The sequence below is a fragment of the Homo sapiens genome, chromosome 16 (assembly GCF_000001405.40).
Source record: "Homo sapiens chromosome 16, GRCh38.p14 Primary Assembly".
Lineage (NCBI taxonomy): Eukaryota > Metazoa > Chordata > Mammalia > Primates > Hominidae > Homo > Homo sapiens.
In genome coordinates, this window is record NC_000016.10 from 84,984,896 (window position 1) to 85,009,564 (window position 24,669).

At 48.2% G+C, this 24,669-nt stretch overlaps 1 protein-coding gene across 13 annotated transcripts in view, besides 2 other annotated features; it reads right to left on the reverse strand.

Annotated features, from left to right (window-relative positions):
* ZDHHC7 (zDHHC palmitoyltransferase 7) overlaps positions 1 to 24,669 on the reverse strand; it is a 53,457-nt gene that overhangs the window by 10,721 nt on the left and 18,067 nt on the right. For 3 of the 13 annotated variants that reach the window (XM_047434352.1, NM_001145548.2, XM_047434350.1), the window contains exons 2-4: positions 11,027 to 11,112; positions 5,409 to 5,740; positions 3,868 to 3,978 (exon numbers count right to left, since the gene is read on the reverse strand). In XM_047434352.1, coding sequence (XP_047290308.1) covers positions 3,868 to 3,978; positions 5,409 to 5,723 — 426 coding nt within the window. In that variant the 5' untranslated portion in view covers positions 5,724 to 5,740; positions 11,027 to 11,112. Of the gene's footprint in view, positions 1 to 3,648; positions 3,760 to 3,867; positions 3,979 to 5,408; positions 5,743 to 11,026; positions 11,113 to 16,769; positions 18,349 to 19,454; positions 19,689 to 24,669 lie in introns of those variants that run through there. The other 10 variants (XM_047434355.1, NM_017740.3, XM_047434353.1 and 7 more) reach the window with 8 other exon arrangements.
* Positions 9,726 to 10,226: an enhancer, noted in NCBI's record as "H3K4me1 hESC enhancer chr16:85028227-85028727 (GRCh37/hg19 assembly coordinates)". NCBI's record gives its function as "activates a minimal SCP1, AML or CMV promoter by ChIP-STARR-seq in naive and primed H9 embryonic stem cells {active_cell/tissue: H9 hESC(naive and primed)}" and the evidence as "EXISTENCE:reporter gene assay evidence [ECO:0000049][PMID:30033119]".
* Positions 19,708 to 20,458: an enhancer, noted in NCBI's record as "H3K27ac-H3K4me1 hESC enhancer chr16:85038209-85038959 (GRCh37/hg19 assembly coordinates)". NCBI's record gives its function as "activates a minimal SCP1, AML or CMV promoter by ChIP-STARR-seq in naive H9 embryonic stem cells {active_cell/tissue: H9 hESC(naive)}" and the evidence as "EXISTENCE:reporter gene assay evidence [ECO:0000049][PMID:30033119]".

A 24,669-nucleotide genomic window follows, 5' to 3' on the forward strand; every position in this document is an offset into this window, starting at 1 on the left:
AAAGGGCCTCGCCAGGATGTGCCCACGATGACAGCGGCAGGGGCTGGAGCACCGTTTCCTCTGCACCCATGGGGCATTCTTCTTCCCACCAGAACAAACCTTCCAAGTAATTGAGCACATTCCTCAGTTCCCATTTTAACCATTTTCGGGACGTTTTTTTCTAAAACACTTCTTGAATGTTTCCCACTCATCTTCTTGTGGGACTGACCATAGGCTCCAGGCCATGGGATGCCTTCAGGCTCCTCCCTCCCACCCAAACACCCAGCGGCCTCCCTTCAGAGGTGCTCCCTGATTGGCTGTTCCCTCTTCTGGTGCCCCTGCCCACATCCCACTTCCAGTCAGCCCTGATGAGACAAAGCAGCCAGCCAGGCCCAGGCAAGGCGCTCTGTGCCACCTCGCCCTTCCAGGGCAGTTAGGCTTCGCAGAGCATGCTTCCGGTCCTCTCTCCCCTGCTCTCCACCCCAGCTCCCTGTCATGCATTCTGGATCCCCAGGGCCTAACTAAGCGGCAGGTAAGAATGGGGCCGGGCCTGTGGATCTGCCTCCTAATTTATGGAAAATGCTGGGGACGAGGAGCACAGCAAAACCCAGTACAGGGATGTAAACTGCAAACAAAGAACTGTGTTTCTTCAACTTAAACCCCAAGGGAAAAAAAGACATTGCAGGGACCAGAGAGATTAATTAAAAGAGATGTCAGAGACACATAAACCAATCACACTGTATGGATCCTTATTTGGATCCTGATTCAAGGGAAAAAAATTATAAAAGAATTGAGACAGGCCAGGCACGGTGACTCACACTTGTAATCCTAGAACTTTGGGAGGCCGAGGCAGGCGGATCACTTGAGGTCAAGAGTTCAAGACCAGCCTGGCCAATATGATGAAACCCCATCTCTACTAAAAATACAAAAACTAGCCGGGCATGGTGGCACATGCCTGTAATCCCAGCTACTCAGAAAGCTGAGGTGACAGAATCGCTTGAACCCAAGAGGCAACCGTTTCAATGAGCTGAGATCCTGCCATTGCACTCCAGCCTGGGCAACAGAGTGAGACTGTCTCAAAAAAAAAAAAAAAAAAAAAAAAGAATTGAGACAATTGAGGAAATCTGAACTCTAACAGGAGAGGTGGTATAAATACATTGCTTTACATGAGCTACCGGTATTGAGGTTATGTTTTTACAAAGAGCCCTTTTAAAAGATACACACGTTTACAAATGAAACAAAAGAATGAGTGAGATTTAGGCGGGTTATCTGGGGGAGGGGAACGGCGTGGGCGAGGCCACCACATGATGTGGTGACAAGCTCAAGGTGGAGCGCTCTTTTCTTCCTACCGTGCACATTTGGAATTTCCCATAAGAAGTGAAATTTTCGAGGCCGGGGCTCTGAAGATAGACAATCTGGTTCAAATCCCAGCCTGGCCTCTTACTGGCACAGCGAGGCCTCGTGTTCTCACACGGATGCTACACCTACGTCCCAGCACTGCTGTGACGGTGGGAGGAAAGCACGCTTTTGGCAGAGCTCCTGGACAGCAGTCGCGGCCCCATGAAGGCTACCTCCGGAAGGCACTCGCACGGCTGCCGAGAAGGCTCGTAGGCATCCACGGGGCTGGCATTGAAGACACAGGCTCTAACAAGTAAAGGGATGCAGGGCCCAGGGCCGTGGGTGGCCTTCCTCCCTCCCAGCCCTCTCACGATCCCAAAGTGAAGCCTGGGATCAAAGTTGCATCCTTCCACAGCAGGGTTCATTGCTCTATCAGTAGGCCTCTGACCCCATCTTCCCCTCCACTCCTCACTCAAAGCACCAATGACTTTCCTCAAGTGACAATACAAATCCCAATTTGTATTGTCCAGGGCAATCCCAGCGAGGACTGCCCAGTCCTATTGGTTTAGAAAAATGACATGAAGTCCCACTGGGGTATCTGCCCCAACCCCTCAACTGTTCAGTTCAGAGGTGATGTGATGGTTCTAGTTCAGCCTGGACTGGACCCTGGTAGGGTAAAGACATGATCTGTGGAGAGAAGAAATCAACTCCCCACTGGGAGAACAGAGGTGACACCTGACCCTGCTGGGCCATGCCCACTCTCCCCTTCAGAAAAGTAGACCTGGACATCAGTGACTGCCACTCCACCTGCTCTGAGGACTGCCCTTCTTCCCTGGGCAGCAGGAAAGCCAGGACTCAGAGAGACAGACAAAGCCTGAGGACAGCTGCCAGCCTCTCCCCTCTGTCCACCTTCCACTCCACAGCCTGCCAGCAGCCAGAAGCATCCTTGCCCTGGGGCTCTGCGTACTCCCCCTTCCTCAGTTTCATTTACAGTGACTCCTGGTGGTTTCTGTCACTTGTCACCAGAGGACTCAAGCAGACATGCTTCCAAAGAAGACACACAAATGGCCAACAAGCCCATGAAATGATGCTCAACATCGTTGGTCATTAGGGAGATACACAGCAAAGACAGTGAGATACGGCGTCACAAAAGAATGGCAATAATGTGTTGAAGATGTGGACACACTGCAGGTGGGAATGTAAAATGGTGTGGATGCTTCGATGTTTTGGGGTTTGTTTTTTTTTTTTCATCATTCCCTTCCCCACAAGATTTTTTTTCCATTTTCTTTTTTTTCCCCCAGTGGGGACACTTTAGAGAATACTTGGCAGTTCCACAAAAGGTTAAACACAGAGTCACCATATGTCCCAGCAACTCCACTCCTAGGTATATACCCAAGAGGAATGAAACACCCATCCACACAAAAACTTACACGCGGCCGTTCAGAGCAGCATGATTTGTAACAGCCGAAAAGCAGAACTCGCCCAGATGCCCATCAACTAACGATGGCTATAGGTGAGAAGGGTCCGGCCAGAGCATGGAATATTATTCAGCCTTAAACCAAATGAAGCACTGATCATGCCACAGCACGATGGACCCCGAAGACGCAATGCCTGGTGAGAGCCAGGCACAAAAGGCCACAGACGAGATGACTATGAAAGTCCCTCAACAGGCGGCCAGGCGCAGTGGCTCACGCCTGTAATCATCCCAGCACTTCGGGAGGCCGAGGCGGGCAGATCATAAGGTCAGGAGATCGAGACCATCCTGGCTAACACGGTGAAACCCCGTCTCTACTAAAAATACAAAAAAATTAGCCGGGCATGGTGGCAGGCACCTGTAGTCCCAGCTACTCGGAAGGCTGAGGCAGGAGAATGGCATGAACCCCTGGGGGCGGAGGTTGCAGTAAGCCAAGATCGCGCCACTGCACTCCAGCCTGGGCGACAGAGTGAGACTCCGTCTCAAAAAAAAAAGTCTGTGAACATGCAAATTCCACAGAGACAGCAGATGAGTGGTTGCCAGGGGCAGAGGGCGTCGGGTGGTGGGGTCGGGGAACTGGGAAGTGATGGCTAAGGGGTGTGGGGTTCCTTTCTGAGGTGATAAAAATGTCCTAAAACCGACTGGGTGATGGTTGGACACTCTGTGGATGCACTAAACACCACGGGACTACACACGAGGATGGATTTAGTGCTATGTGAATTAAATCTCAATCAAAACACCCCTGACATCCAAGATCTCCAACTTCTCCCTCAGTATGTTCCATTCAACATTCTCTGCAGTAATACAACAAGCAAAAGAAATCTGCCCACCAGGGCGGCAGCACGCCCTGCACACACCTTCTACCCTGACTTCCTGGCCGCCTCCAGCTCTCCAGGCTTCTGGGGCCTTTTCCGCAGGAGCAGGAGCGGGGTGGGAGCAGAAGCTGGACTGCTGAGTAGCTGTAGAGTCTGAGCGCAGAGGAGGAAGGGGCAAGTGCGCTTGTCAGCAAAGAGGAGCAAACTGCTGAGGACTCCCAGCCAGGCTGACCCTCCCCCATGTGCCTACCCCACACTCACAAGCAGGAGGCTTTGCACAGACTCGGTTCCCTCACCACAAATGCCCACAAGGGTTGGGTCCAGCCCAGTTTTCACTGTGCAGGCAGATGGTCGGCAGTCACTGGATTTTTCCTACAAGGCAATATTCCAGTAAAAATCGCTGAGCTGGACCTGGCCCTGTAGCTGGCCCTCTCCTTTGTCGAAGTGCCTGGGCACTTTGGGCAACAAACAAGGGGTTTCTGCTGCAGCCAAGGAAGGAGAGGGCGGAGACACACAGGGATCAGGAGCAGGGTCTGGCTCCTAGAGGGAGACCTGCCGCGTAAAAGGAAATGACAAGACAGGCTTTAATTCTCTGAAGGCACAAACCCATCGAAGAGACTCAGTTATGGTCAAAGACTCCACCATCAGATCAGGCTACAAAGCCACTGGCAGACTTTGCTTCCAAGTTTGTCCCCAAGGTACCACTCCCCAGCTGCCCTCTGGTTGGGCCTATAATACTGTCCCATTCCCAGGACAGCTGCCCATGACCTCTACTAGTAAAACAGGAGACAGTAAACAATGTACATCCAAACCCTGAATAATTAATTCAGATAAAGCAAAGACAGATAAAGCCACGTGCAGACCACATTCTGTGAGCTGATCCGTTTCAGTTTATTCTCAAAAAAGAGTCCTGGTCAGGCGCGATGGCTCATGCCTGTAATCTCAGCACTTTGGGAGGCCAAGGCGGGTGGATCACCTGAGGTCAGGAGTTCAAGACCAGCCTGATCAACATGGTGAAACCCTGTCTCTACTAAATATACAAAATTAGCCAGGCATGGTGGTGCATGCCTGTAATCCCAGCTACTCAGAGGGCTAAGGCAGGAGAATAGCTTGAACCCAGGAGGCAGAGGTTGCAGTGAGCCAAGATCGCACATTGCACTCCAGCCTGGGCAAAAAGAGCAAAACTCCGTCTCAAAAAAAAAAAAAAAAAAAAGTCCTTATCTTATTAACGTCTGGGTACCTTCTTTAGAGAAAGCTTAGAAACAGACAAGAACCCAGTAGATTTTAAATTGACAAATTGGGAGTCCCTATACCATGGTTTAAAACCACTGTTTTAAAGCAGTGGAAAGAACTTTTTTCAAATGAAAATCTACTGACTGCTAATACCTGACTTTGCATGCCTGCAGCTGCTGGGCGTCTCCTCCGAGCTCTGTGGGAAGCCTGGAACTCACTTACTAGAGGTGACGGATGGCTGAGCTGCAAGATCTGTACGATCGGCCCGAATGCCCCTCCCTGATTGAAGGATGTCTCAAAACTCAGGAACAGCCTGAAAGCCCAGCTGGAAGCTGAATCTGGTGGCCTGCAAGGCGTCAGGAACTAGGGGTATTTCACTGCGCTAGGTCTGGCCTATGTTTATTCTCAGCCTAAAGGGAATCTGCTCCCAAAATGAGCTCAATCCACCTTTCTTGTTCCACACCCATGTCAATATGTCCCTGTGCACTGCTTCCTCCAAAGGGTCAGCCACACCCGAGGACACTAGACCAGACACAAGAGAGCCACCCAGAGACGCAGCCAGTACTCACAGGGTCGGTGAGCATGGTTCTCAGGTGGGATGACAGGGCAAGCACGGCCAAGCAGTTAAAGATGACCCCGTTGACCACAGAGTACCAGAAGTCTTTGGAAGGCAGCAGCATGACGAAAGTCACCACGAAGTCTGCATAGGCGACCAGAAGCCACGTCATGACAGCACAGATCATGCCGCAGCCGTCACGGATGAACCAGACCCGGTCAGCCACGTCAGCCTCGGAGGAGGAGGACGATGAAGAGTCATAGTTGTCATTTTCAGCCAGGAGAGGATGATGCTCGACGTCCCGGAGCCTGTGTCCTGATGGCTGCATGATTTCCCTGACGCACCCTGGGGAGGGGGACGACACAGAGCTGGTAAGGCTCAAAAAGCTCACAAGCTACCTTAAATATGATGTGTTACAGTTTGTCCTTGGCCATTTCATGAAGTTAGTCTAAATACACATAGTGGGAAAGAACATAAAAACATAACTAAGATCTGAATTTTTAAATCTCTGACTTGATTGATTGCTTTACTACAACACAGTAAGTCCCACAGTACAGGTTATGCCTACATATACAAAACCTATCTATGGCCAGCCGTGGCCACATACAAAGATTATGGAAAGCACAAGCTAGACGCGAAGTCCCAGCACTGGGTTCCCCGGCAGCGTGGAGAGGAGCTCTGCTGTATCACTGCTGCGCCTGCTCCCCTGAGCCCCACCTGTTCCTGCTCTGCTCAGCAGCTCACCTAAATGCTCCCAAGCAGGTGCTCGGCACACACTTCAGCAAGCAGCATGATGAAAGAATGACGAGTAAGTCACTGGTTCTCTATTCATCTTTACACCGCCTCATACACACTGACCTCATTGGTCTTACCTGATTTTCCTCAATTTGATTCTCAGTTTATCCTCGCTTATCTGTGATGTTTTTGGAGCAGACTCCCATTTTTATATCTCTGTTCCTTGACACTCTACCCTGCTTCTAGAATGCCCTTCATCTCTATTTTAATCTTTTTTTTGAAACCAAGTCTCACTCTGTTGCCCGGCTGGAGTGCAGTGGTGCGATCTTGGCTCACTGCAACCTCCGTCTCCCAGGTTCAAGTGATTCTCCTGCCTCAGCCTCCCGAGTAGCTGGGATTACAGGCGCCCACCACCACACCTAGCTAATTTTTTTGTATTTTTAGTAGAGATGGAGTTTCACCATGTTGGCCAGGCTGGTCTCAAACTCCTGACCTCAGGTGATCCATCTGCCTCGGCCTCCCAAAGTGCTGGGATTACAGGCATGAGCCACTGCACCCGGCCTCTATTTTAATCTTTTAAAAGTTTCCTGTTTTTGTTGTTTTGGGAACACAGTCTCCCTTTGTTGCCCAAGCTGGAGTGCAGTGGCACAATCACAGCTCACAGATGAGGTCTGACTATGTTGCCTGGGCTGCTCTGGAACTCCTGGGCTCAATCCTCCTGCCTCAGCCTCCCAAAGTGCTGGGATTACAGGTAGAGCCACCATGCCCAGCCTTTCCTTCATTTATTAATCCATTCTTTTGCAAGCCATCATTTTGACACTTCTTCCCTATTTCCAATAGCATCTGATTTCTAAGAACATACAAGATCTAAAGAAACTAAAGAAAAAAGTAGGACCGGGCACAGTGGCTCATGCCTGTAATCCCAGCACTTTGGGAGGTCAGGAGTTTGAGACCAGCCTGGTCAACATGGTGAAACCCCGTCTCTACTAAAAATACAAAAACCAGCCGGGCATGGTGGCGTGCGCCTGTAATCCCAGCTACTCGGGAGGCTGAGGCAGGAGAATCACTTGAACCTGGGAGGCGGAGGTTGCAGTGAGCTGAGATCACGCCACTGCACTGGACTCAGTCTCAAAAAAAAAAAGAAAAGAAAAGAAAAAAGTGGGTCAGGTGCGGGTGGCTCATACCTGTAACCCCAGCGCTTTCAGAGGCAGAGGCCGGTGGATCACGAGGTTACAAGTTCAAGACCAGCCTGGCCAAGCTGGTGAAACCCGTCTCTACTAAAAATATAAAAATTAGTCGGGCACAGTGGCAGGCGCCTGTACCTGTAATCCCAGCTACTCAGGAGGCTGAGGCAGGAGAACTGCTTGAACCCGGGGGGTGGAGGTTGCAGTGAGCCGAGATCGTACCACGGCACTCCAGCCTAGTGACAGAGTGACACTCCCTCTCCAGAAACAAAAAGAAAAAAGTGCACTTTTCCTGGTAACTGTTTTGACTGCTTCTTTGATTGTACGCCCTTCTCTTATCGGTGTTTGCTCTGAGAGTTGTAATATCACAGATAAAGAGCCAGGGAAAGGAAGAGACAGTCAATTTCACCTAGCTTTGCCATGAGGAGAAAATACTGACAAATATTTTAACGAACTGACCCGGGCACCTTCTCAGAGCAGGAGCGCTCCTCATATTTTAAGCAGGCAGAGTGCAGAAACCATGGCTTCTGAAATGTGAATAAAGGAGTGTAGTAAGAATGTTCTCAGAGGTCAGGTCACTACAACTGAGTAACAGCACTGGGTGCTGTTTTTCAAATCTGGGTGTGACTTTTTCTTTTCTTAAATGCAACTGGAACATAGCAATTATGAAAACATTTGCCGAATGAACATGTGGTGAGGATTCATTCGCCAAATACTTTAAAAAATTTCCTCTCGATGCAAAAATGCTGACTGGTACAAGAGCAAAATGAAATTGTTTTCCAAAGTCAGTAAAATAGCCCTATTTTTCAATCAGATAAAAGCAGCTTTAAAAAATGTTTAAGGCTGGGTGCAGTGGCTCAAGTCAGCACTTGGGAGACTGAGGCAGAAGGATCATTTGAGCCCAGAAGTTTGAGATCAGCCTGGGCAACAGAGTAAGACCTCATCTCTACAGAAAATAAAAATTAACCAGGCATGGTGGCTTGCGCTTATAGTCCCCCCTACTAGGGAGGCTGAGGGGGGAAGATTGCTTGAGCCTGGGAGGTGGAGGCTGCAGTGAGCCATGATCATGCCACCGCGCTCCAGCCTGGATGACAGAGAGATCCTGTCTCAAAAAATAAAAATAAATAAATACATGCTTAAGGCTGAGTGTGGTGGCTTACACCTGTAATCTCAGCACTTTAGGAGGCCAAGGTGGGAGGATCTCTTGAGCCCAGGAGTTTGAGACTGGCCTGCGCAACATGGGAAGACCCAATCTCTACAAAACAAAATTGTTTTTTTTTTTTATAGTCAGGCATGGTGGCACACACCTATAGTCCCAGCTGTTTGGGGGACTGACGTGGAAGGATCGCATGAGACTGGCAGGTTGAGGCTACAGTGAGCCACAATCCCACCACTGCAGTCCAGCCTGGGCAACAGAGTAAGTAAGACCCAATGTCAAAAAAATTGTTTTAATTAAAAAAACTTTTAAAAATAATCATTTGAGTGAAATAGAAAAAACTAAAGATCAAAAGAATTTGGACAGACCCCTTAGCCAACCATTCCTTCAGCATTTTCTGAACCTACATCTTCTGCATCTGTCTGCTCAACATCCCCTGCAAACACCTTTGCAGCACCATTGCCTCTACATAAACCTCATTCACCCTGCAGGGCCTAACTTTTCTCTCTTCTAGGCAAGCCAACCTGAAAAGGGAGTTCTCTTCTTCTGAGGAGCACTTTGCGAAGAGGTCTCTAGACATCAGATGTGACTATCCGGAGATAAAGGCTGAAACTGCTTCTGCCTGCACTACTAGTAAAGCCTGACTGTCAGGGGGCTGAGAAAGTACCTGGAAGTTTCTCTGCCTCCGCTGAAGCCCTGGGCACGCTCACCAGCTCTCCCTCCCAGGTACTTACCACTTGCTACCTGAGAGCTCTTGCAGGTCCGACCTCCCGGCCTGATGTCAGCCCCTCCAGGGGGGTCTGGGTCTCCTCCTGCCCTGTCCCCCTCATGCCTTGCATGCTGTCTGGCGCACAGCAAGGGCATGTTTGCTAAAAGGCAGATGCAACAAAAAGCAAGCAGTCCCTCTCTCAGATTCCAATCACCTCCTGCTGATTTCCATCTAAGTTTCTTGGTGAATCGTTATCTGTGGGCCCAGGTACATCAAGGCCGTAAGCTGAAAAATTCCTCTGAGCAGAACCATTTTGCTTTATGGTGACTTCTCTAATAGGACACGTTCCATGAGAAAAGGAAGGGTGCTTTCCAGGCAGTAAAACAAGCTATACTTTTGTCAGAGCACAATGTTTGGGCAGTCTGAGCTCTCTCCAGAAAGCAGGGCCTCTTGAAAGTCTTCTAAAGGCACACATGTGACACCTGAGCCAGCTCAGCTCCGCCTTCCTGGTTCAGGTCCTGGTAAGACCTCCACGGAGTGCAGGATGCTGCTGTGGCTCCATGCCTGACCTGGGGGTGCGGATGGCAGGCACAGCTGTGTAAGGAGAGCGCCCACAGACACCAAACACTGGCCATGGCAGGACGTTCCTATAAGCACATATTAGGGTGACATATCATACTTGAGGGCTTTAGTGCCATATCTGTAAGATCCATTAGAAGTCAACAGGAAAATAACATGAAATCCAAAAACTGCTTTATTTTCAACAAAGCAACAAACGAATATAGCAAAGTTAGGCTGGACAAATACAGCTCTCAGTAACACAGTGCACTCACTCGTGTCTCTGAGTCACTGTATTTACACTTGAGTAATGCAACAGGAAGGGAGGGGAAGAAATGAAGAAACCATTCCTTTACATGGAAGCTAATCTAAAAGCAAACAGCACAGCCATTTGAGATGCGGTATTAAAATGTACACATTCCTTAGGAGCAAGGGCACAGCCTTATTCTGCACTGAATTCCAAAACCACCGTTGACTTCATACTCAAGACAGTTTCTGAGGGAACCGTGAAACACTGGGCACTCTCACACAGATGCCCCAGCATCACTCTTCTACCCTAATGGCCGATTTAATGGGATTTTCTCAACACTCCCGAACCTAAGCTCTTTCTCGGCATGTTAAATAAAGCCCTGTTTCCCAGAACACCAAAAGCAACACTACAAATCTCCATATTTAAAGGGACAACCACACAAGCAAAAACTTTCCGTTTCAGGCCGGGCACAGTGGCTCACGCCTGTAATCCCAGCACTTTGGGAGGCCAAGGCGAGTGGATCACTTGTGGTCAGGAGTTCAAGACCAGCCTGGCCAACATGGTGAAACCCCGTCTCTACCAAAAATATAAAAATTAGCCGGGCATGATGGCGGGTGCCTGTAATCCCAGCTACTAGGGAGGCTGAGGCAGAAGAATCACTTGAACCTGGGAGACAGAGGTCGCAGAGAGCCAAGATCACGCCATTGCACTCTAGCCTAGGCAACAGACTGAGACTCCATCTCAAAAAAAACAGACAAAAAAAACCAAACCACTTTCCATTTCAGGTGGAAAGCGGGGTATTCCCCTCATCTTGTGATACTGGCCAAGAACTCATCAATTCAATTCATGGAGTCCCCTCCACAGATACACCCTCCTTTTAGGACCGGAAGGCAGCGGGTGAAAAGGAAGGCGTGCCTGTCAGCTTGGCACCACGCCTCTGCTTTGCCACATGCACAGGTTACCTTTTTAGTAATATACAAGCTAGTGTCAGCTGTGAGAAAGGAAACAGTGATTGGACCCTAAATAATCACACTCTTACCTCACAAGTTATTTCTAAACATCACTTGAACATTTTGTGCCGTTTCTTCAGGATCTTAAGGTGCATACTGTCCTATGTGATCGGATCTGAAAGGTAATAAAATCTGATTAGAAAAAGTGATTTATTTTATGACAGACGTGTGTCATATTTCTTAGGGTATGATTAATTTTTGGAGCGTAACATTTGACGCATCAAGTTCTGTCACTCAGAACTATCCTTAAGTATGAAATCATTGCTCTTCTAAGTTTTGATTACTAGGTAAATTCACAATCCTGGAAATCAAGTAATTTATTTTAAATATTTCCATTTACCCTCCTGCTCTTTTAGCCCCAGTGTTAAATACAGATCTATAAGCTAAAATCCCTCCAGAAAAATCCCCTAGGGCAGACCAAATCTGGGTAGCCTGCACTTCTACCGTCGATAAGCTGATTTACTGGCCACATTAAAGGAATCACAGAACAGAGAGACAGAGCACTTGAGGCAGGAGGGGTGGACTAGAATGGCAGGCCCTGCTGTGGGAGGGGCGAGGAGGTGAAGGAAGACAGTGGAACCCAGTGAGGGCCACTCAATGAGAGCAGAGACTCCTGGCACGCATCTCCCACGTAGCTCCCCGAACCCTGACAGATGGGAGGGTCGAGGAATCCTCTCTGGCACTAACATGACCCAAGAAAAAGGTCTAAAGACTCTGCGATGTAGGGAAAACCCAACAAGAAGGTCAGATTCACTGTCAGACCTCCCTAAGTCAGGGGCCACAGGGAAACCCCCGCCACGGACACAGAGGTTCCAAGTGCTTGTCGTAGCTCCATTATAAAAAAAGAAAGTCCAGGCCAGGCGCGGTGGCTCACGCCTGTAATCCCAGCACTTTGGGAGGCTGAGGCGGGTGGATCATGAGGTCAGAAGTTCAAGACCAGCCTGGCCAAGATGGTGAAACCCCGTCGCTACTAAAAATACAAAAATTAGCTGGACGTGGTGGTGGGCGCTTGTAATCCCAGCTACTCGGGAGGCTGTGGCAGAGAACTGCTTGAACCCACGAGGCGGAGGTTGCAGTAAGCCAAGATGGCACCACTGCACTCCAGCCTGGGCGACAGAGCAAGACTCTGTCTCAAAAAAAAAAAAAAATTAAATCCAAACACGATTCATGAAAGAGCACAAAACAGAAATGAAGGGTAAGAGTCCAGAACACGCACAATGCACAGAGAAGAAAATGTCAACAAGGCATAGGTAAAATTCATATTCTTCAAAATAAGAGAAGAGATTGGTTCTGTGAAACAAAAAGAGGAACAGTTTAAGAACTTCCTGGTTATTCTACAACGAAAATACAACAGTCTATAGATTCTAAATTTTCCTTTTTTTTTTTTTTTTTTTGAGATGGAGTCTTGCTCTGTCGCCCAGGCTGGAGTGCAGTGGCGCAGTCTCGGCTCACTGCAAACTCCACCTCCCGGGTTCACGCCATTCTCCTGCCTCAGCCTCCTGAGTAGCTGGGACTACAGGCGCCCACCACCACACCCAGCTAATTATCTTTTGTATTTTTAGTAGAGACGTGGTTTCACCATGTTATCCAGAATGGTCTCGATCTCCTGACCTCGTGATCCGCCCGCCTCGGCCTCCCAAAGTGCTGGGATTAAAGGTGTGAGACAGCGCACCCGGCCTCTAAATATTCTTAAACAGAATTGGACAAAAGAGTAGAAATGGGCCAGGCACAGTGGCTCACGCCTGTAACCCCAGCACTTTGGGAGGCTGAGGTGGGCGGATCACAAGGTCAGGAGATCGAGACCATCCTGGCTAAAACAGTGAAACCCCGTCTCTACTAAAAATACAAAAATTAGCTAGGCGTGGTGGTGGGCGCCTGTAGTCCCAGCTACTCGGGAGGCTGAGGCAGGAGAATGGCATGAACCCGGGATGCGGAGCTTGCAGTGGGCCGAGATGGCGCCACTGCACTCCATCCAGCCTGGGCGACAGAGCGAGACTCCGTCTAAAAAAAAAAAAAAAAAAAAAAATAGAAATGTCCCAGAGAGGAGAACTAGAAGACAGAGAGAAAACACTGAGAAGAGAATGTAAAATAAAATTAGAAGATCGGGTCTGTAATCCCAGTACTTTGGGAGGCCGAGGCGGGCGGATCACGAGATCAGGAGATCGAGACCAACCTAGCTACTAACACGGTGAAACCCCGTCTCTACTAAAAATAAAAAAAAATTAGCCGGGCGTGGTGGCGGGCGCCTGCAGTCCCAGCTACTCGGGAGGCTGAGACAGGAGAACGGCGCGAACCCGGGAGGCGGAGTTTGCAGTGAGCCGAGATCGCACCACTGCACTCCAGCCTGGGTGACAGAGCGAGACTGTCTCAAAAAAAAAAAAAAAAATTAGAAGATCGGGTCAGGAGGTCCACCTTCCAAACAACAGAGGTTGAGCACAGGGGTCCCTGGGAGAAAAGGGCGCAAGCAGATCTCCTTGTGGTAGGTTTCGGCTCTGGCTTCGGCGCCGGCTGCCTGGCTCCTCCACTCCATCTGTAGCTGAGATGCTTCCACGACAGTGCTTTTTCTGCCTGAGTCAACCCCCAGCTACTGTCTGTTGTCTGAAACCAAGAGCCCTGACTAGTTTCTGAAAACATATTCTGGGGTGCCTCCCGATAACCCGAGATGGCTCGCTGTCTCCCGCCCTAGTGTGCCAAGCCTCCACCTGGGCCCGCTCTGTGGAGGTCCCTGTGCCCATCACACCGACTGCAAGATCCCTCAGGGGTCGCTTTTCCCTCAAGCTTCTGCCCAGGCCCTAGACAAACACTGACACAGCACTGGTTCCCCAACAGAGCTCCAGCTCTCAATCCCTTCTGAACCTTTTTTTTTTTTTTTTTTTTTTGAGATGGAGTCTCACTCCTTTGCCCAGGCTGGAGTGCAGTGGCGCGATCTCGGCTCACCGCAACTTCCGCCTCTGGGGTTCAAGCAATTCTCTTGCCTCAGCCTCCCGAGTAGCTGGGATTACAGGTGCACGCCACCACTCCCAGCTAATTTTTTGTATTTTTAGTAGAAACAGGGTTTCACCATGTTAGCCAGGCTGGTCTCGAACTCCTGACCTCAGGTGATCCGCCCGCCTCAGCCTCCCAAAGTGCTGGGATTAGAGGCGTGAGCCACCGTGCCCAGCCTAAATGCAGCATTTATATATAGTAACTTTATTCAAACATCTATGCACCAGCCAGAAACTTGAAATGCTTAGTAATATTTTGAACTGTTTTCCAATGAGCTTATCTTAGCAATGTCTTAAAATCGGAAACTGGTTTGCAAAATTCAGGACTGTGAATCGCAAGCATCAGGTCTACACCAGATTTTCTACAATGAGATCAAATCTCCAATTAATTTTATAAATTTTAAAAAGTAACCACTTTGGAAAGCAGTCTGGCACTTTCTCAAAGTTAAACAAATACCTACCCTGTGACTCAGAGATTCCACTTCCAGGTATTTACCCAAGAAAAATAAATATAAATATGAACACAAAAACTTGTCCGATACTGTTCACAGCAGCTTTGTTCATAATACCCCCAAACTGAAAACAACCCAAACCCGTCAACAGGAAATAGATAACAAACATTGGTGTATTCATATAATGGCATACTTCTGAGCAAAAAAGCAGGAAAATATTACTGATACAAGCAACATGGCTAAATCTCAAAAATATTATGCTAAGTGAAAGAAGCCAGACACGGAAGAATATATAGTGTGATTCTATGTGTATGATATTCTAAATGAGGCAAACTCGTTTATTTAGAAAGAAATCAGAATAAGGATTTGAGCACAAGTAGAAGTGACTGTGGAGAGGGCCAAGGTAACATTGTAAGTTGACAGACATGCCTGTATCTTGAGAGGGAAGTGGGTGACACAGGCATATGCGTTTGTCAAAACAAAATACAATTCGCTGTTTAAAAAAAGCCCAATAGACTATACACTTTAAATTGTGGGGCCGGGCACAGTGGCTCATACCTGTAATCCCAGTGCTTTGGGAGTCCAAGGCAGGATCACTTAAGCCCAAGAGTTCAAGACTAATCTGGGCAACATGGCAAGACCCTGTCTCTACAAAAAAAATTTTTTAAAAATTGGCTGGGCAGGGCCTGTACTCCCAGCTGCTCAGGAGGCTGAGGCAGGAGGATCGCTTGAGTCTCGGAGGTCGAGGCTGCAGTGAGCTGTGTTTGTGCCACTGCACTCCAGCCTGGGCAACAAGCAAGACCCTGTCTCTAAAATAAAATAAAATAAAATTGTGCATTTCACTGTACATTAATCATGCCTCAATTAAAAACATGAGCAGGAGAAAAAATACCCAGCACAGGTATGTACGGCCGGTGTGATAGTGCAAGGGTGCGGCACAAGGCAAGTCCCAGCGAGCAGTGGAGTCACTTTTCTTCCTGGATAACCCGCGTTCCTGAGTCCAGACCCTGTCTTGGATTTACTTGTATCTGTAACTTCAAGCAAGTGTCTTAAGCTCTTCGCCTTTACTTTTTTCCTTGGCTATAAACAGAAAATGTATTTCTCAGGAACACACTGAAAACAAGTAAACAAAAGATACCAGTATTCTCTGGTGATCAGTGACTACAGAAAAGAACCAAGACATAATTATTTTTACCACTGCACTGCTAAGAATGTCCACCCTAGAGTCTGGTATCCATGTTTATATTAAAATACTATTTAAACTTGTCGTTGCTTTACTGTTCATACACCCACTTCAGCCCCATAAAAAACGGAATTAAGCAAACCTGTTTTAGGACAGAAGGTTACAAAACAAACTCAACCCCTGCCATGAACAGTCCACTCAATTCAAACATCAGGCTGGGGAGTTGGGGGGTGAGCATCCAAGCACGTACTCTGTGCAAGGCCTCAAGGATGTGCAGCCAAAGACAGCCTGAGCCACAGGAGCAGAGCGCACACAGCAGCGAGGTGAGGATCCAATGTGCAAAGTGCTTTCCCCAAGTTAGCAGCAAAGTGTGATCAGGGAGAGAAATGAAAACAGCTACTTCTGGAAGAACCAGAGAAAGTGTCAATAAAGACAACAGACAGCATGGGTGGGCCCCAGCAGACCAGAAAGACATGGACAAGAGAGGACAATCATGTGACACAGCACAGAAGGGAATTCAGCATTCCAGAGGGGAATGTGACCAGAAGGACAAGCCTGAGGTCCAATGGAACCACAGCCTGAATGCCACGCTAAGAAACCTGGAACTCTAGACTTCACTCTGCTGGAATGGGAGGCACCAGACCTTAGGTAAACCAGATGGTTTAAAAGATAACTGGGGCCGGGCGCGGTGCCTCATGCCCGTAATCCCAGCACTTTGGGAGGCCAAGGTGGGTGGATCACTTGAGGTCAGGAGTTCAAGACCAGCCTAGCCAACACGGCGAAACCCCGTCTCTACTAAAAATACAAAAATTAGCCAGGCATGGTGGCCAGTACCTGTAATCCTAGCTACTTGGGCAGCTGAGGCAGGAAAATCACTTGAACCCTGGAGGCTGAGGTTGCAGTGGGCCAAGATCGCACCACTGCACTCCAGCCTGGGCAAGAGAGCAAGACCCTGTCTCAAAAAAAAAAAAAATTAAGTAAATGGATGGCAAGAGCCAGGCTTCTCACTGTTGGGGTGGAAGTTTCCAGGTAAGCAAGAGGAGGAAGCTAGAATGACCTAAGTTTTTGGTTTAAGGAAGATACAAGCAGTTGCATATGGAAATATCTACAGATATGTATACACACATGGGTTAGCATCCACACATATATTTACTTGCTCTGTCAGCTGAGACGGCCTAGAAGCAACACACCAACAGCCACCAGCACACCTAATTCCCAGATCTTGGTTTGTTGTTGTTGTTTAATATTCAAGATGGGATCTTGCTAGTTGCCCAGGCTGCTCTTGAATTCCTGGACTCAAGCGATCTTCCCATGTCGGCCAAAGTGCTGGGATTATAGGTGTGAGCCACCACAGATCTTGGTTTTTAATACCATTCTCTAATAAATAAAAGGAACCAGGACTGAGGCAAAAAAAATAAATATATATACAAGATGAGCTTGGAGCATCTTGTATTGCCAGAGAATAATGAAGTGTTCACAATACACACACACAATCATGGGGACAGGTGGGCTCATGAAAGGGATATAGGAACCAAGTAAAAGAGCTCCCAATGGCCAAAGCTTTTTCCAGGAAAATAAAATAGTATTGCTTTATAACCCGAAGCATCAAGTAAACATGCACGAGTCCAGACTGATATAAAGCAGTGGCTGAATAAACAGAAAATAGACAAATACCCAGCGCCACGAGTCCGAGGAATGCCTGTGGCTCCTCCTCCTCCAGCAGGGAGGACGCTGCTCCCCACCCCTCAAGTATGGCCGTTCACAGGGACAGTTTCTAACGAGTGGAGTACGGAAAGGAGGAAAATAACTTTACTGAGGAGAAACTTGGCAAACACCACCTCAGTCAGCCAGGTGTTCAAGGCCACATCCATAGCAATGAGTCCTGTGGACAGAACACAGCCTTGACAGGCTGTGGCGAGACAGGCCCTCTAACTGCATCACCCAAGTCTAGTCATAAGGAAAATATCAAACAAGTCCCAAGAGAAGAGCATCCTACAAAAAAATCCCTGACCCACAGCACTGCTCCCAAGTGCCAGTCATCCAAACAAGGAACGCCTGAGAAAGCACCACAGCCAAGAGGGGCTGACGAGATGTGCCCACTCATGTCCTGTGTGATCCTGGGTGGGATCCTGGGACAGAGAAAGGACATTAAGGAAAAGCTGAGGAAATCTGAATCAAGTGTGAATTTTATCGATAGGAGAAAGCGTGGGTGGAGTGGGGGGATGGTCGACAAAGCGGAATGATCCTTCCTCCCTGGAGGAAGAAAGGGGAAACCCGGGCATGAAGAGAAGTGAAAGCAGTTCACTCAGGAAGACGAGTGCTGAGTGTCTCAGCAGAGAGGAGGAGCGGGGCTGCGGCGCTGGGAGGGCCTATGGAGACCGCAAAATGGAAATGGGGTGGAGAGGCGGCGGCCAAGAGGGGCCTGAACTGTCACCCTGCAGGGCCCAGACAATGCTGACACCTTAAGTGTCTCATAGAGGATGGGAATGGCTGGTCCTTTTATCCAAAAGCCCAGCCCAGCACCATAAACTTACCCAGGGCTGGAGATTAGCCAGGATGATGGGCTAGAAAAGCAGAGTAACGAAGGCAAGACCAAGATGCAAGCGGGAGAGGCCAACCTCAGAGTCCAGGGGGCAGGAGGAGAGGCCTGGTAAGCCAAGTGACCGAAACTCAGGGCACTGAGGGCCCGAGGAGCCTGAGAAACAGACTCAGAGGAAGTGAGGGGCAGGACTGAGGCTGGGTCCAGGGGGGCGCTGTAAGATCCGGAGGCAGTGGTTCCTATGGGCCGTGCAAACGGGGCCACATCCCAGGTATGCCACCAGCCCGGATGAGTCAGGGAACCTGAGTCAAGGTGGGGAAGGCTACAGAGGGAGCTCACGTCCTCCCTCAACTCACAAAAGGAGCGCAGCACTCAGCTGACCCACTGCAGTGAGCTGATGGCGACTGCGCTCCTAAGTGCTCTTGCCATCAACTGGCAATCATGAAATATTCAGTTTGTCCTTTCAAATCCTACCATAGGAAATGATGCTCTAAGAAACCATGATTTTCTACTCAAATTACTGAATCCAAAGATCAGAATATTACTTTTAAGGAAAAAAAAAATCCACACCAGAATATTAACCCAACTCAAGCCAGATCTCAATGATATGCTGGCACGTAAGTCATACGGTGAATAGTGACATTGCCTGACCTTTCTAGAAGGGCATTTCATATTAAAATACTTAATCACTCTACAGTAGGATCAGAACACTGCAGATCAAAAACATGGCAAAGTGGGGGAACACACACAGCACACAATGAACCGTGGAAGTGGGAGAGGGAACACCAGTCTCAGGAGTGAGGGGCCTGGGGGACAACACTGACTTCCCTTCCCCCTAGCCACACCCGGTCTCTGACTGGATACTTCTCCTCCACCCATGTAAACGCCGGGAGCACCCGGGCTTAGTCCTCGGCCTTCCCTTCATCTACATGCTCTCCACAAAGGAGCTAATGGGGAACCTCAGTTTCACGAAGTTTAAACAAAAAAAGATATCTGGAAAACTCTCAGGCTGACGATGCATCCCTAAGGGCGTCTATCCAACTGGCCACTTAACAACTCCAGGGCAGGAGGGTCAAAGCAGAACCTCCCCCACTCAGTCACGACCCCACTCTTTCCCATCTCAATCAACGGCACACCACACCCAAAAAAAAAGGCCCCGCCCTTCATGTATCTCATTCCCCACCTCTCCACATCTAGCTGATCAGCAAGTCCTATGGGGTGCACCTCTAAACCTACCCCAAATCCGACCACTTCTCCCACCTCCTCACCCGCCCAGACCAAGGTCCCATGAGCTCTCACCTGGGGAGTGCTTAGATCACCTGCTGACCAGTCCTCTCTCTACTCTCATGCCTCTGCTCACCCAACAGTCCAGTCCCCCATGCAGCACCCAGAGTGGTCTTCCACAGACGTAAATCAGATCATGTCACTCCCCTCCCTAAGCTCATGCAATCACTGCCTTTTCAGTGCGAATAAAATCCCACCCCACCCCCCACTCCACCCCACCACCATGGCCTAGAAAGCCCCACTCCATCTGGAGCCTGCTGGCCTCCCTTCCTAGCAGCCTCTCCCTGGCTGCTTGTTCTGCCATCACCTCAATGGAATGTTACTCATAGTATCCCCAGCACTCCCGGGTTCACCACGCACTCCACAAACATTTCTTGAGTGAATAAGTAAGGGAAGGAGGGTGCTTGAGGGAGACAAGAAAAAGTAGAAAGGAAGTCCACAGGCAAACGACAGGGGCGTGTGATAAGATCTGCCAGGGGAGTGGGCCAGAGGCCCAAAGGAGCCTGGCAGAAAAGGAGTAGAAGAGAAATGCACAAGGGTTATAGAGAAAGAGGGAGACGGGGGTGAAGAGAAAAACCCCACCTGTAGGCAAGTCACAACTTCAGGTCCAGAAAACATGTGCGCGGGACCTCACTAGAGCACGCAGGCCAGATGAGGTGGCCTCCAAGGAATGCTTACTCGTACCCCAAAGGTTCCCCTTTCATCCCTGTACGAGAGCCACAACCTAACTTTGACAGTCAAATGGAGCAGCTATTTTTAAAAATCCCAGCATGGTAACTAAACCCTCAAGAAATCTAAATCCAGAAATAAAAAGAACTCTAGAGTTCCAAACCTCATTAAGCATCCTGTCCCAGGGAAGAGCAGAGCCTCAATCAGGCTGGTATTCCCAACCTCCTTCCCTGTCTTCCTAGAGTTTCCCTGTTTAATACAAAATGAGCTTTTATAATGCCAGATTAACCAGAGTTCAAAATACTAAGAAAATATGACATGCTAACAATACATTTAGCCCTCAATTACAAGTTAATGACAACATAAAACATTTGAAGGTGAGAAGAAAGGCTATTTACTGAGCATCTACTCTGTTTGTCAGGAGATTTACACACGTGACCACCACCCTAAAAGCCAGGCGTATCACGAGCTCATTTTCAGGATGACAAAATTGAGTCTTAGAGGCTAAGTGCCTTGCTCAGATCCACAGCCAGTTAGGGTGGAGTCAGAACTGTTTTGATTCCAAAGCCCGTGTTCTTCCACTAAAATACACTGGCTTCCAGAGCACTCAGTTTAAGAAAGTGCATTCTGTAATGAATAAATTGAATGTTGGAAATATGGAATCTAAGAATTCAAAACATTTCAGTGAACTCTAAAAGCTGGTCTCCAATGAGACTGGAAGCCTCTCTAGCTGACTGCCCCTCCTCACGCAGTGCTGCAAATGAACGGCAGTGTTTCCCGGTGAACCAAACCACCAGCTTAACATAGAGCTAGCGTCTTTTTCCAAATCAGTGACATTCCTCATGCAACCAGGATTGATTCACCACCTTTTAGCCTCTGGACACAAAATTCCTCCATTCCTACATGTATGACGACACTTCCCACTTACAGCTCTGATCCTTCTCACCTTTCCCACAACCCAAATTTAGGCAGCCCTCATCTCTAGCCTGTACCTCTGCAGAACGCTAACTTCAAGGGTCACTAGATTCCAATGACTCTCCACATGGCTGCAGGAATCACCGTTCAAAATCACAGCACAGGCCAGAGGTGGCGGCTCACACTTGTAATCCCAGTGCTTTGAGAGGCAAAGGCAGGAGGAACACTTGAGTTAAAAGACCAGCCTGGGCAACATAGCGAGACCCTATCTCTACAAAAAAAATTTTTTAATTAGCTGGGCGCAGTGGTACACAGCTGTAGTCCCAGCTACTCGAGAGGCTGAGGCAGGAGGATTACTTGAGCCCAGGCGTTCAAGGCTGCAGTGAGCTATGACTGCATCACTGTACTCCAGCCTGAGTAACAGAGAGAGACCCTGTCTCAAAAAAATTAAAAACCTAAATAAAAATTCCTTGAAAAATAAAATTAAATAATTTTAAAATAATATATAGGGCCAGGTGCAGTGGCACCGGTCTACCTGTAATCCCGGCACTTTAGGAGGCTGAGGTGGGCAGATCATTTGATCTCAGGAGTTCAAGACCAGCCTGAGCAACATGGAGTTCAAGACAGGCCTGAGCAACCGGCCTGACCCCATTTCTGTAATTTAAAAAAAAAGGAGCCAGTTTCAGTGGCATGCACCTGTAGCCCCAGCTACTCAGGAGGCTAAGGTGGGAGGATCGCTTCAGCCCAGGAGGTTGAGGCTGCAGTAAGTTGAGATCATGCTACTGCACTCCAGCCTAGGTGACAGAATAACACCGTCTCAAAAATAGTAATAATAAAAAATTAAATAAAACAAAACCACAGCACAGGTCACAAAATCAACCTGTTGCGAAACCTTCTGGCTCTCCCAACCTTTCCAGGCTCAACATTCCCCACTCTCTTCCATATGGTGCTCCTTTGGATTCCCCTTACCTCGCCTTTCATAGCTCTGTGGTTTTGCTCCTGTTTCCTCCAATTAGAATTCTTTCTCTGCCTTGCCAAATTATTCATTCACCAAACAGTTTTCAAGCACCCACTACCTATAAGACACCGTAGAAGAACACGGTGTTTTCAAAACCGTAAGATGCTGAACCAAAATAAGGCATTGTCTGGGCCCCATATGGAGTCTGGGTTTGATTAGAGGATTAATAGGATTCTACTGAAAAGTTTTTCAAGAATGGAATGGAGGCTGGGCAAGGTGGCTCATGCCTGTAATCCCAGCACTTTGGGAGGCCAAGGCAGGTGGATCACCTGAGGTCAGGAGTTCAAGATCAGCCTGGCCAACATGGTAAAAACCCGTCTCTACAAAAATACAAAAATTAGCCGGGCATGATGGTGGGTGCCTGTAATCCCAGCTACTCGGGAGGCTGAGGCAGGAGAACCGCTTGAACCTGGGAGGCGGAGGTTGCAGTGAGCCGAGACCACGCCACCGCACTCCAGCCTGGGCAACAGAGCGATACTCCATCTCAAAAAAAAAAAAAAAAAGAATGGAATGGAATGGAACTCAGAAGCAAGCAGGGCCAAGATTACTAAGACAAGGATATGTTTGTAAATAGAAGTGAAGAAACCAGCAAATGGAAAAAACAATCAAAAAGGCAAGAGATAGTAAATGATAATTCACAGTCCCATAACAAGCAGACCAAAGCAGACACAAGCGTTAACATCAGGAAGGAGGGACTGTCTCTTCCTCAGAGGCAAAGCAGAAGAAAATGACTGATGGATATTCGAAGACATTTTAGTTAAAAGGGAACTAAGGTTGAGAGCTCTCCCTGTGGCCTGTGTCTCCTCCATGTTCTAGAAGGGACAGTCATTTGTCAATGGCAAAGCACAGTAGTATACAGGATTTTCAAGTAGGAAGGGACCAGGAAAGAAGTAGGATATGTAGTAAATAATTTAACCAGGCCAGGCACAGTATAACATGCCTCCGGGCGGCCAAGGCAGGTGGATTGCTTGGGCCCAGGGGTTTCAGACCAGCCTGGGTATCATAGTGAGACCCTATCTCTACAAAAAATAAGCCGGACAGGGTGGCGTACACCTGTGGTCCCTGTTAACCAGGAGGCTGAGGTAGAAGAAACCACTTGAGCCCAGGAGATCAAGGCTGTAGTGAGCCATGATTGTGCCACCGCACTCCAGCCTGGGCAAAAGAGCAAGACCCTCTCAAAGCAAACAAACAAAAAACAATTTAACCTTATTTAATCTTACCCAAAAAGAGGTCTGCCCTTTGTCCTCAGCTAACAATATGATGTAGGGTGAGGGGGGAGCTCTTCGTCACAGGGTATCAGTCTATCTGGGAACTAATATCAACCATGTGGGCAATCAATCAATCAATCAATCATGCCTGCATAATGGGGCCTCAATAAAAACTGACTACAAAGACTCAGGTGAGCTTCCCAGGCTGGCAATACTCCATGCATACTGTCACACATCAATGCCAAAAAAGTAACGTGTTCTGAGTCCACAGGGAGAGGACAATCGTGCCTTTGGTGCTTCCCCATCTGGTACTTCCCTGGACTCCACCCAAGGGTGGTTTTGGGAACCACCACCTACACCCCCCCCCAAAAAAAAGCCAACTTGCAGTTGGTATCACAAGTGAGGGCAGTCCTGTGTGGACTGGCACTATTCCCACTCAACTTTATAGCTAGCTAACTGGCACAGTCCAGCTAAACTCTTCTCAGATGTTACAACCGAAGGGTCACACAGCAAGTTGTTAACACTGACCCTGGAGACTAACTTTGGGAATAAGATATTTCAGTGAAAATGACAGTTTTGACTTTATGTTCTGCTCTAGGGTTTGAAGAAAAAAAAAAAGGGTCAGGCACAGTGGCTCACGCCTGTAATCCCACCATTCTGGGAGGCTGAGGCAGGCGGATCACCAGAGGTCAGGAGTTGGAGACCAGCCTGACCAACATGGAGAAATCCTGTCTCTACTAAAAATACAAAATTAGCCAGCCACGGTGGCTCAGGCCTGTAATCCCAGCTACTCGGGAGGCTGAGGCAGGAGAATCGCTTTAACCCAGGAGGTAGAGGCTGCAGGGAGCCAAGATCGAGCCACTGCACTCCAGCCTGGGCAACAAGAGCGAAACTCCGTCTCAAAAAAAAAAAAAAAGTACTTCTAAAGTTAAAATATTACAGAAACATACCCCAAAAAGCTGCTTTAGTAAAATTATCTTGTATAGTTGTCCAATCACGAAAACTATTCAATGTTCATCCCAAACATTAACTTTCTACATGAACTTATTTCTACACCCATTTTCTTTGTTAATTTAACAAAGATTGTATTATTTATATCAACAAAGCATCCAAGCCAGCAGGTAAGTTTCAGTAAGAATGTAAAAGTACGTTCATACTTTTGACTGAATCAAGATTGTTCTTATATAAAGTTCATTTCAGTGCTTTCTTTCTCACTGAGAGGGCCATTCTATTCATGCTAATACTCTTCTGTTCTTGAAGAGGATTTGTTTTTACAGTTCATTGATTAGCAGGGCTGTAAAGTTTCAATTCATTAATCTGTCAACTGAGGCAGGCTCTGAGCCAATGGTAGCAGAAGAGTTCCCATTGTTACTTAGCGAATCCTTTGGGAATTACCTTTTCAAATAGTCTTCTTCTCCTT